Genomic DNA, 12,033 nt, shown 5'->3' with positions numbered 1-12,033 from the left:
CAAACTTCATGACATTTGGTAAGTATTGAGTTTCATATTTCTCACTTATCAAAGAAAGTGCATGTACCAGACAATGTGGAAGTTGATTCCAGTTCTTAAGTTCTACTATTCACAGTTTGTAATATATAAGTTGATTTTTTTTAAGATAAGTTAGAACTTTCACTAGATGTAGAAACTGAAACAGATTATAGAGGACAATTAGCATATTTTTAAAGACATGGAGCCATTTTAAGAAGAGTGGAAAAATAGTATCTTAAATCATGTGCAATGAAAGCAAGGAACCAAGGAAAATTGAACCTTTAAACCTCCCTGCTTCTCATATAAACACTCAATAACAAGGAAATGTTGGCTTAAGAAATCCAACTATTATAGAAAGAAGATGGAAAGTTAGACCAGGATTAGGAAGGCAATGCTTGACTAAAGCTGGTATACTTTAAAAAGTAGGATCCACAGTTAGCTCAAATAGTGTACATTTTTTTTTTTTTGAGACGGAGTCTCGCAGTGTCGCCCAGGCTGCAGTGCAGTGGCGTGATCTCTGCTCACTGCAAGCTCTGCCTCCCAGGTTCACACCATTCTCCTGCCTCAGCCTCCCAAGTAACTGGGAATACAGGCGCCCGCCACCATGCCTGGCTAATTTTTTGTATTTTTTTTAGCAGAGACGGGGTTTCACCATGTTACCCACGATGGTCTTGATCTCCTGACCTCGTGATCTGCCCGCCTCGGCCTCCCAAAGTGCTGGGATTACAGGTGTGAGTCGCCACGCCCAGCCTCAAATAGTGTGCATTCTAAGATTCATTATAACTCCCAGACTTTAAGAGCCAGTAACTGATTTGTAGATCCAACAAGGATCAGAGATACTTAATATTTATAATGATCAACTTCAACGTATAAGAATGCAGTAACACAATTATTCAATTGCCATTGCACTGGTATAGAGTAACTCAAATTACTAAGTAGCCAAAGACTAGTTTTTGAAGAATAAATTACTCCAGATAAATTTAATTTTCATTAATGATAAAATCATAGACCACTTATTGTATATGTGTGTGAGTGGGGTAGTAGGAGGAAAGTAAAAGGTATCTCAAATCTCACATGATTTCTTCAATGAACTGGACATAAAACTGAGGTTGTATTATTGTTGGGTTGATTCTTACTAGGGAATGGCTAACACCTCATAGGTAGTTACCCATGAGTTACTTGCATCTAGAAGACTATCCCAAGGATATCTTCCATGGCCCAGAGTGACTGGTGTTATTTGTAAAGGTCTCTGTCATGGAATGCTTACCAGGATTTTGGTGAAATATCATCTGTTTTATCTTAAAATTATTTTTATTCTTATTTCCTCAAGTATTAGTGACTCAATTGTAAATTTGCTCAACCCCAATAGTTCTAATTAAAAGCAAGTTAACAAGAAAGTCTGGAAAGCTCTCATAGTTTAGAGGAGCTTAAGATGACATGTTGGTCAGGCGTGGTGGCTCACACCTATAATCCCAGCACTTTGGATGGCCAAGGTGGGCAGATCACTTGAGGTCAGGAGTTTGAGATCAGCCTGGCCAACATGTTGAAAACCCGTCTCTACTAAAAATACAAAAATTAGCTGGGCGTGATGGCAGGCACCTGTAATCCCAGCTACTCGGGAGGCTGAGGCGGGAGAATCAGTTGAACGTGGGAGGTGGAGGTTGCAGTGAGCCAAGATCGCACCACTGCACTCCAGCCTGGGTGACAGAGCGAGACTGCATCTCACAAAAGAAAAAAGAAAAAAAAAGACATGTCAACTTAAAGCACTGTGGTATTCTGGATGAGATGATTCTGGGACAGAAAAGGAATACTGGGTAACAACTAAGGAAATTCGAATAAAATATTAACTTTAGTTGACAATAGTGTATTGGTATTGGTTCATTGGTTGTGCTAATGCACCATATTGAAGTAATGTAAGATGTTAAAAATAGAGGGAATTGGGTGTAGGATATATAGCAACTCTACTATCTTTTCAGCTTTTCTCAAAATTTAAAACTATTCTTAAAAGGTCACTCTCCTTCCTCCTCTTCCACACAACCCCATTGCGTTATTCAGTATATATTGCATCTTATTTTGGCTTCACATATCTAGAAAGTTGAGGAATATGGAAAAGAGCAGGGAAAGTAAAAGATAGGAAAGGTTAAAATGTCTAAGTGACTTAAAGTTACCTAGCTCAACAAAGACAACAGTGTCAGGCTTTCTGAAAATTGTTTCAAAAGGCTTTCACAAGTATGTCACTGAGTAGAACACAAAACAAAAGAAAATGATTTTGAATAAAAAAAGAGAATTTAATTTGAAAGAATCCTTTTTTAAATAAGAAGTTATTTTAATATCAGAATAGCCTAATAAAAGTAAAGGAAAATGTAGGAAATCATGTTTTAAAAAAGATTAGCTTCTCTGCTGTCCAGCATAGTAGCCACTAGCCTCATGTGGCTATTTAAATTTGTTTAAATTAATAAAATAAAAGATTCAGTTCCTAATTTGCAGTAGCCACATTTCAAGTACTCACTAGACACATGTGGCCAGTGGCTGCTATATTGGACAGAACAAATGTAGACAGACCATTTACACCATTGCAGCCCTGAATTCTGTGCTAATTGAGAAGTCAGTGGGGTTAAGGTATTTGGGATAAAATTGTTCATATTTGCTTGGATGTTATGGGTAGTTATGTTTACCTATTTGCATGTCTTGCTTAGGAATCCACAGAAACCCAAATGAAACTTTGAAACAGTAGAGCTTCCTATTTTACACCTTTTATTTCCTATTCCATGCAGGGAATAAGCCATATCATCTTTCAGATAGATAAAATCTGGCAGAGCCATGCCCATTCTGCAAACTTGATGGTTCACATCCTTCTTGAGACAGATTGTTTGGCTTAAAGTACACGTGCAAGAGTCAACAAGGATATTGTTGCTGTCAACAAAGTTTAGCACATAAGCAGAGTGGGTGACACTGTGAGAGTTTGAAAGCTATCCCTCCCTCCTTTCATTGAAATATATTATCCCTTGGGTATGTACATGTTATCAGTTACTGCCTTTATTAATATTTCCTTGCATACATATTTTGAGTGCTAATTCTTTTTTGTATTATAAACTATGGAATTTCCATTTCTGAATATCCTCTAAATTGTGATGAGGTACATATCTTGGATAGTACAGGTAAAGGGCTCTCAAAAGGATGACTTCAGGTACTGTTCAGATATGTTTCAGGCTAACAGATGACTTTGGCTATCTGTGTAAATAAAATTGGGTATTTGAGTTTTAAGACAAACTTAACCACAGAGCTGATATTTATCAGCTTCAAAATATGAACTGAAATACTTTTCAAGTTTTCTGATAGTTGTTACAAAATGACATTTATTATTTTAATATTCTTGGTCACACATTTCACTTTTACTTTAGATGCTTTTTAGAATTCAGAGGTATGGTTTAGATTAGTATAAAACTATGTTTCTCAGATTCGGGTGCACAGACTCTAGTTATATATATATATATATATATATATATATATATATATATATATATATATTCCAGGAATCCATGAGATGTTTTAATTATATATTTTCATTTTAGTGAATTAAAATACATTTTGTACGAATAAACATAAAAGTTTTCTTTGATAGAGAAATTTCCAATTAAAAACACTTTTTATAGAAGAACTCTAATTTTTTAAAACATTGTTTTTCCATCTAGGCACTGGGTCTGTAACTAGTATTAGTTTCAAAATAATTTTTCCTTTGAAAATGAATTTATAGATTACTCAAGTTTCAGAAACATTATGTAATGAATTTAAGCAAAAAAAGGAATTCATATGTGTACTCCACAGCATGCCTTATTTACGGATTCAGACTTAAGTCTTCTATTATTGTAAATGGCAATTTGATTCCACACTGGCATTGAGGATTAAAATAATTAAAAATAAATTGACAACTACATTTCTAAATACTGAAGTCACAATGATCTTGTAGGCCATGCTTGTTGATACCCTTTCATTTTGTACAAAACACCCCACCCCTCCCTCCAGCTCTCCCAGGTATTTGCTTTGCGGTACAAGATTCCTGTGCCACTGAGGCATTTTGGTAAAAGGAGCCTTAAGTGAATATTTTAAAATTATATATATATTATATATGATGTATATATATTATATATGATGAATCCTACTCATCTTCTGTCCTCCCACATAAAAGTGCAGTGTTTCCATACAATTGAAAAGAAGAGGCTGACATGCTTGTACAAAAAAAAAAAAAAAAAAAAAAAGAAAGAAAGAAAAGAAAAGACATTCAAGTAAAGGGACTTGGCAAGTAGAAAAAGAATTATGCTAGAAACACAAGGGCTGGGCATGCGCACATGCAGATATCTGGATCAAGAAGCTCTGAGTCTGGGTCAGCGATTCTCAAGCTTTGCATGCATTAGAGTCACCCAGAAGACTTGTTAAAGTACAGATTGTTGGGCTACAACCCAGAATTTCTGATTCAGTAGATCTCTAGGGCTCTGAATTTGCATTTCTAACAGTTTCCCCAGTGATGCTGTTGCTGCTGGTCCAGGGACTACACTTTAAGAATCACTAGTCTGTGATAAGAAATTCTAGATTCTGAGTAGTTAGGGCCACAGTTTTTTCCTATGTGTGTGATGTCACGTATTCCAGGTTGTTACAGACATGATCTGTGTGTCAGATCTTGCAAAACAAGAACAAAAACAATATACTCTCTTGATTAAACAGAGCAATTAAAAACAAGGGACATGGAAGAAGTGACAAGAAAAGGGGGAAATTAGAGTTTATCCAGGCCCTATTACATCCACTTCTGTTAATATTACTTCAAATCTTTTGGATCAATAAGAAGAAACTATGTTAACTCAAATGTGGCATGGAAAAAATCCATTGTCTGTACATTACATAATTTTCTAAGATTTCATCTAAATACTTTCATAGATAAAGACTTAAATGTGAACAGGTTTTAGAAGTATTCCTAAAGGGTCATATTTAGATGTTACTTTAAATTTGTCAGAGCTAGTAGATTCTAATCAAAGGTTCAAGTTCCACCTATGAGCTAACCATACTTCTTCTCAGAAAGCCATTTAAATACTCAATGCCTCACCTTTTCTGTGGGAAAAAAAGTCATTGAACTCTTACTATTTTTTTTTTGTCAAGAATGTTGTAAAGAGCAACCATACATGTGATGATCATGCAATTCTTTGGAGGAAGAAGGCACTAAAGAAATCCAAAAACTGCATTATTATTTTCAAAGATTTAGTTGCCTATAGAATTCCTCACTCCTACTTCAAGATTTGCTTATATAAAAAATTAAATTTGCTTCCACTTTATGGTATCCTTCAAAATATTTTCACCACAGCCCCCAAATCATTTCAGTTTTGTGAAATTAAATGATTGCCTACATTACTGTAAGTCTGAGTTAAATTTGCCATTTTAATTTCAGTGTGTCTTCTTGAAGACAGTTAATATAATTGGCAGTGCAAGACTGAAAACAGCTTTAGACCAGAATTATCTTTGTCCATGTTTTTCTCTATATAAAACTCTTCAGGCTGGGAATCCCAGCAATAGCATTTCTAGAAAGCTGCAAATAGTGACGAAGTCATGAAATAGGGCATTAGCTCAGAAGCAGATCTCTACATTAGAAAAGCGTAATTCATTTGTGTAAAACAAAACACAACAAAAACTGTAAAACACACACGCACGCACACACGCACATTCAGCTGGCACAAAACATAAGTATGGAAAGCTCCTCCCTCCCACCTGCCTGCAAGAGATACTAAATTGGAGTTAGTAAAACTAAATTCATCAATCTTTTCAGGTAACTTCCAATTACATGTATAGTATCATGTAAGGGAGGTGAGTACTGAGAGAGAAGTGAGAAAACCAGGGTTCTGATTTTGTGTATAATAGCTGCATTCAGCCATTCATTTTATAATGATGCCAAGTGCCAGATAAGGATAATGATGAGAATTTTATTAATAAATGTTAGCTATGTAACAGACACTATTTGATCACATTACATGTATTATTTCATTATCCAACACTTTATTAGATATTCATATCATTTTAAGAGGTGAGGAAACTGAGATATTACCTGTAATACATGTTCACCTTTAAGTCTTTATTTTTAAAGCCTAACCTGTTTCCTCACCTGAGGCTTCTGCCCCAAGCCAGGTCTGTCTGACTCCAGACACTGAGCTCCAAATGGCTGTGCTCTATTACCACCACACTACACTGTGTAGGGCCATGAAAATACACTGAAGAACAAAACAGACCCCGTCCCTGCCCCAGAGAGCATATAGTTTTAATCCATCTGAGCTTCCGTTTTCTTCTTGCAAGGTGGGATAAGTTATGGCACAGTATGGCTTCATTACTAGATCTTTCATAAATCCCAGTCAATTAAATGAAGGTATTAATGAAACTAGCATATGTAATTGGCAGAGTAATTTTTGTATGTCTCTTCTCCTTGGGAAATGCATAGTAATCTTGGAAAGTTCACTGAACTTGAGCATTGTACACTGAAATCTTGGAATAAGGCACCATCTAGGATAAAACAAAAACAGAAAAATTGACTATGTTTATATTCTTGGCTTAAAAATTTTGCCTTGTCCAGAAGAGAATCAGCTGTCAGATTCAACTTACTACAGGAAACAGTAAAAATGAAACCTGTTTCTATAGCTTTCTTCCCTCAGGGACCCAGTGTCTCGCAAGTATGTTTCCATTTGAAGAAATCCTCAAATGAATCCCACATCTCAAGGTAGGTGTTTATTTACACTTTGCAGATCCAATTCCAAGGCTCCACATTTAGGGCAAGTTAATTTTAAAAGCTTCCTACTGGCATCCCTTCTAAATAAGGGATGTCTTTTTATTTTGAATAATATTTTTCTGTCGTAAGCTGCTCAGTTCCTATCCTCACACACATACTTACATTTTCTGATCAGAAAGTCTAACGAGATATGCACTGGCATTAAAGATACATCAATAATGTAAAATGTAACTTTTTGGTCCCCTATTGCACTTCACTATATCTCTTTCCTCTTTGGAAAGTTACAGAAATGGCCATTTAAAGAAATTAAGGTAAAATACATCTCATTCAAATAAATGTGCAAAATAAGAGAGAGTAAGTCAGAGTGTGCATGTGTGTCTTTACAGTTTTCTCAAAAGACACTGAACTAAGGACTCTGCACCCAGGAGAGAAAATATACATATGACTCTATGAACAACAGAAGAGTTTAAAGTTAACTTCTAAACATCATCGTGGCTTTTTTTTCTTGTTATTGTTGTGGCTGTTTTGTTATGCTGGCTGCCAGAATCATGGAATTGAAGCATGGAATCGGCACTTTGTTTTTCACATAGTAGATTTTTCCTTGAATTTCTGTGAGATCATCTATGGATTCCTCCTCAATAAATCATTCTGCAAATATCTGTGAAGCACCTATTGTGTGCAGAGCACTGTACTAAAGCCCTTCAGTAGCATTGGAGGAGTCTAATTGGAGGAGACAGAAAATGTAACTAAGGCATGAAAGCCTTTCTCATAGATTCTTAATAGGGGCACTTCATCCTATAAACATGTGCCCCAACCTCATCCTTTAGTCTCCTAGCTTTCTGAAGCTTATATCATAGAGTTACACAATATACCCAGTTTCCTCAGTAAATCTTAGCAAGGAAATCAAGGATTCTTCTTTTAACAAAATCAACGAAGTAGTTTTTTTTTTTTTTTAGAGCCATTGAAATAACTTGTTATCTAATTGTCAAATAGTTTTCTAATTCTACATTGTGATTGAAGAATGAGGGGAAAAAATGGACAGAGGAGAGGCAGATAGCTCTGACCTGGGAACTAACACAATAGATCTTGAGAAACTTCAAAGTAAAACAATTATCTCAGCAACAGGGATGATTTGGCATCCCTTTGTTAGCCGTTTATGACACATGTGTAATACTTTGACATCAATTTAGAAACTGGCATTTCTAGAGCCTTGCCATATTGCCAGGATATTTCCATCTCAATAATATATTGATTATATTATAGTAATGAGTTGGCCAATGACTCACAGAGTTATGAAGAGATTATACTAAATTTATCTGAGATAAGTCATGATGAAAACTTCAGAATTATTACATGCATGTTTCATATCCTTGTCATGTTAATACTCACCTATTTTGTGACTTGATATCAGCCCCTGCTTTTTAATGTGAATCAGAAGCTGTAATTATTTGATGTTTTATAGGACTTAACACATTTTTATGGGTGTTTGGCTTATAGTAAAAATCCTCTCTAGTTACAAAAAACTGCAAGAAAACCTAGAAAAGTGAAATTTTGATTTTTGGTTACTTTCTGGAAAATGTTTATGGGTAATCAATTTTTTAAACTACATGGGTAATTTTGTGAGTTATCTTTCAGTTATTAATATGTTGACTGATCACAGACCAGTGAGGGGTAGCTCTGTAAATGACTGTAAATCTACCAATTTTTTATTAAATCAGGAGGCAAAGGATAGCGTAGTTTGTCCCAAGATATCACTGTGTAGAGCTCTGAGTTCAGAATATACATACCTCCCACCCCAAATGCTTAAGATGTATTTCCATGATCGTGAGTCCCTTTTCTGCATGTTTAGATTCTTCTGCATGATCTCTTCAACTTCCCTAAATGGTTAGTATGCCACAGAGGTTGATTCCTTTTTATCTATGCTTTTTGTTTTTGCTGCCTTGTATTTATAAAACCTCCTCAACTGTGCTACACATGGAATATTTGCCAATTGAGAGAGTGTAGCAAATGGATGATGGCAGCTAACAGAGGTTACATGCCACACCTTCAGCACTCATAGAAAGTGGGCACATTGCATCTCTGGGCGATCACAAGCTGGTGCAATATCTTGTAAAATACTGTTTGCCAAGTCACGCCAGCTGGATAGATAATGGGAATCACCGTGTTATATAGTAGTTCCAGTTCCAGACTGATCTTGATGCTATGGTTGGTTAAATATTATTGATGAGCTAATTATGCTCCTAAAACAAACCAACAGTATTCTTTAAAAAGGACTCTCCAAAAATAAACAGAAATACAGACAACAGTCTTGTCGTAAAGGCTAATGTCTTTTTTTCTCTTTGCCAAATTTGTTTTATGTATTGTGCATATATATCAAAAGAACTGCTTTAGATCAGGTGTTTAATGTATTTTGAGGAAGATATTAAATTGCTGAGAATACTTCATTCATTACAAAATAAATATACATTGTGGATGAATTTAAAAGCTAGACTTTTAATAAGTTGGTGAGGTGACAAGTATGTTAACTAGCCTGATTAAATCTTTCTACAATATATACATCGACCAAGACATGATGTCATACTGCATAAATATACATAATTTTTATTTGTCAACTAAAATTTTTTAAAAAGCAGACTTTTATAAGTAAGCTATCGATAAGCTAAACACTGGAAAAGATGACATGTAGAATAATTAGAATTTGAATGTGAGGCTGTTTAAATAAACATAGACAGATCTGGACTCAGAAATCTATGTTCATATAGCACTACATGCTGTTTAGTTGATGACTTCATTGCACTATATACTTACCACTAACTCCAGTGGGTAGCTATTTTGCACTGTTAAGGTACTTGTTTCTTTGTTGTGGGGGGTTTGTTTTTTTACTTCTAAGTGACCAACACTCATTTAAAAAACCTCTCTCACTCTATTATTCTAACTCAAAGTTGCCAGCCACATTGTGTGCTGTAGTATTAACACAGCATCACTTTAGTATTTGACATAATGCTTTGTGGCAGCTAAAATTTAAAAAGGATCACATTTATTCTAATATCATTATAGTTATTGTGATGTACCCAAGCAGATCACTCTAGTTTTGCTAAAGCTGAGCTTGCTGTCCATCAGAATTACCTTCTTGCACATCTTTTTCTATATAATAAAAAACATAAATCTTGTAATATTAATTCTTGTTTTTTATTTAGATACTTCATTGATGTAAAAATGTTTAAATATCTTTTGGTCCTTGGAAGAGTGGGCATCAATGCTTCTGTAACCATTAGTAGGTTACGATCGAGAATTTAAGTTAACTTTTCTATTAAATCCTACTTACCCATGTTCTAAGGATAATCATTTTTAATCATAGAAGTCCTCAGCAATTAGAAGAGAATAAAGAATTTTATTGTCACTAGGGAAATAGAGGCTAACATCTTGACGTATATTAAGTTTCATTTCTTTGGGAGTTTGTTTGGCAGATTATGACTTGTGAACTCTTTGTCATCTCTTTGGAAGAAAGCCACAAGAGCAACTGAAGACGTAGAATTTGTAAAAAGAAATTGTTTTATTCAGCTTTGCTGTGACTGAAAGTTTGATTATAGACTGTGCCATTTCATCTTATCTTTAATCTACAGATTTTTAAATGGTTTCCTTTCTAATCCACAAATATAAAAATTAGAGGTTTATTCAGACAATATGTATGAAGTCAAATACGTATTTCTTATTTATATGTAAGATGTAAAGGATAGAAATGCATTCTTATTTATTGGTTTCTGGAAGCTGAAGTAAGCCTGGGCAACATAGGAAGACCCTGTCTCAACAAATACAAAATGCAAATATTAGCTGGGCATGGTGGCATGCGCCTGTAGTCCCAGCTACTCAGGAGGATGAGCCAGGAGGATCACTTGAGCCTGAGAGGTTGAAGGCTGCAGTGAGTTGTAATTGGGCCACTGCACACCAGCCTGGGCGACTGAGTGAGACCCTTTCTTAAACAAAACAAAACGCTGAAGTAGTGTTTGTTTAGTTGTTATTAGTTATGTAGATTTTTAAGAAATGCACTCCATATTTTGGGGGGCCAACTTTTTTTCAGTTGAGAAAATATAAATGAGTAAAAGGAGTTATCAAATTAATACTTACAGCAGGATGAATATCTTTCCTTTATATAATAAGAATTTATAGTGTATATATATATATATATATATTCCTTTTTTTCTTAATTATGCTAAGAAATTCTTCCTGAAATCTATACTAAATGTCTTTTTTCTTTTTTTTCTTTTGAGATGGAGTCTCACTCTGTCACCCAGGCTGGAGTGCAGTGGCACGATCTCTGCTCACTGCAAGCTCCGCCTCCCGGGTTCACGCCATTCTCCCACCTCAGCCTCCCGAGTAGCTGGGACTACAGGCGCCCGCCACCACGCCCGGCTAATTTTTTGTATTTTTTAGTAGAGACGGGGTTTCACCGTGTTAGCCAGGATGGTCTCAATCTCCTGACCTCGTGATCTGCCCGCCTCAGCCTCCCAAAGTGCTGGGATTACAGGCGTGAGCCACTGCGCCTGGCCTACTACATCTCTTATAAGTTTTACCTATTTAAAACTTTGCTTTAACTGGACAGAGAGGGGGAAAATGTGTTTTATTACCATGTAATATACTTTCATGATTTCTTATGAAGAGATGGAATTCAATTCAAATCAGGCTTTCATTCCTATCTCAACTCCTAAAGCCTTTATCCAGCTCACCACTCACTGTCCTGCATGTGGCAAATTGAATATTTTATCTTATTTGAGCTTCTACCAGGGTCCAACAAAGTTGACCACTGTCTCCTTCTTCAAATAGTTTCTTCTCTTAGTTTGGGTGATCACAGTCTCCTGGTTTTCTTCTTGGTATCCTTTACTGGTTCTTCTTCAGTTTGAACTTTATGTTATAGGGGCTCCCAGGGCTTGACCCTTCTTTTTTAATCTACATGCTCTCCCTAGGTGCTTTCCTTTAGCCCCATGGTGTCTTTAAATACTATTTGTTTGGGTCCCAATGTGAGACAGTCTTTGTCATTCATGGGTTGGAAGATGACTTTTCTGCTAATGTGAACCACTATAGACACCCAGTCATTCTCCATTCTATTATACCAATTTAAGTATCCAGGTAGCTCATATCCCTATCAGATATTTTTCTTGTTTGTTACTTGTGGAGGGTTTTTTGGGGGGGGGGGTTGGAGGTAGGGGTGTTCTCTTTCCTTGAACTCTGTGAGACATTGAATAAAACAGGTGTTGAGTGAA

At 35.7% G+C, this 12,033-nt stretch overlaps 1 protein-coding gene and 1 long non-coding RNA gene across 4 annotated transcripts in view, besides 2 other annotated features; both read left to right on the top strand.

Annotated features, from left to right (window-relative positions):
• FIGN (fidgetin, microtubule severing factor) overlaps positions 1-12,033 on the top strand; it is a 133,398-nt gene that overhangs the window by 56,028 nt on the left and 65,337 nt on the right. The gene's annotated exons all lie outside the window — the stretch shown is intronic.
• Positions 1-12,033, top strand: part of LOC107985957 (uncharacterized) — a 65,994-nt gene extending 53,961 nt beyond the window's left edge. Inside the window, exon 2 of the long non-coding RNA XR_001739759.2 lies at positions 1-12,033. This exon is cut by the window's left edge and continues 22,601 nt beyond it. This is a non-coding gene — a long non-coding RNA (uncharacterized LOC107985957).
• Positions 12,008-12,033: part of a silencer, noted in NCBI's record as "tiled region #10417; K562 Repressive non-DNase unmatched - State 24:Quies", that runs on past the window's edge. NCBI's record gives its function as "represses a minimal TATA promoter and a strong SV40 promoter by Sharpr-MPRA in K562 cells {active_cell/tissue: K562}" and the evidence as "EXISTENCE:reporter gene assay evidence [ECO:0000049][PMID:27701403]".
• Positions 12,008-12,033: part of an enhancer, noted in NCBI's record as "tiled region #10417; HepG2 Activating DNase matched - State 5:Enh", that runs on past the window's edge. NCBI's record gives its function as "activates a minimal TATA promoter and a strong SV40 promoter by Sharpr-MPRA in HepG2 cells {active_cell/tissue: HepG2}" and the evidence as "EXISTENCE:reporter gene assay evidence [ECO:0000049][PMID:27701403]".

The sequence above is a fragment of the Homo sapiens genome, chromosome 2, assembly GCF_000001405.40.
Source record: "Homo sapiens chromosome 2, GRCh38.p14 Primary Assembly".
NCBI classification, from domain to species: domain Eukaryota; kingdom Metazoa; phylum Chordata; class Mammalia; order Primates; family Hominidae; genus Homo; species Homo sapiens.
This window is presented reverse-complemented; position numbering and strand designations above follow the sequence as displayed.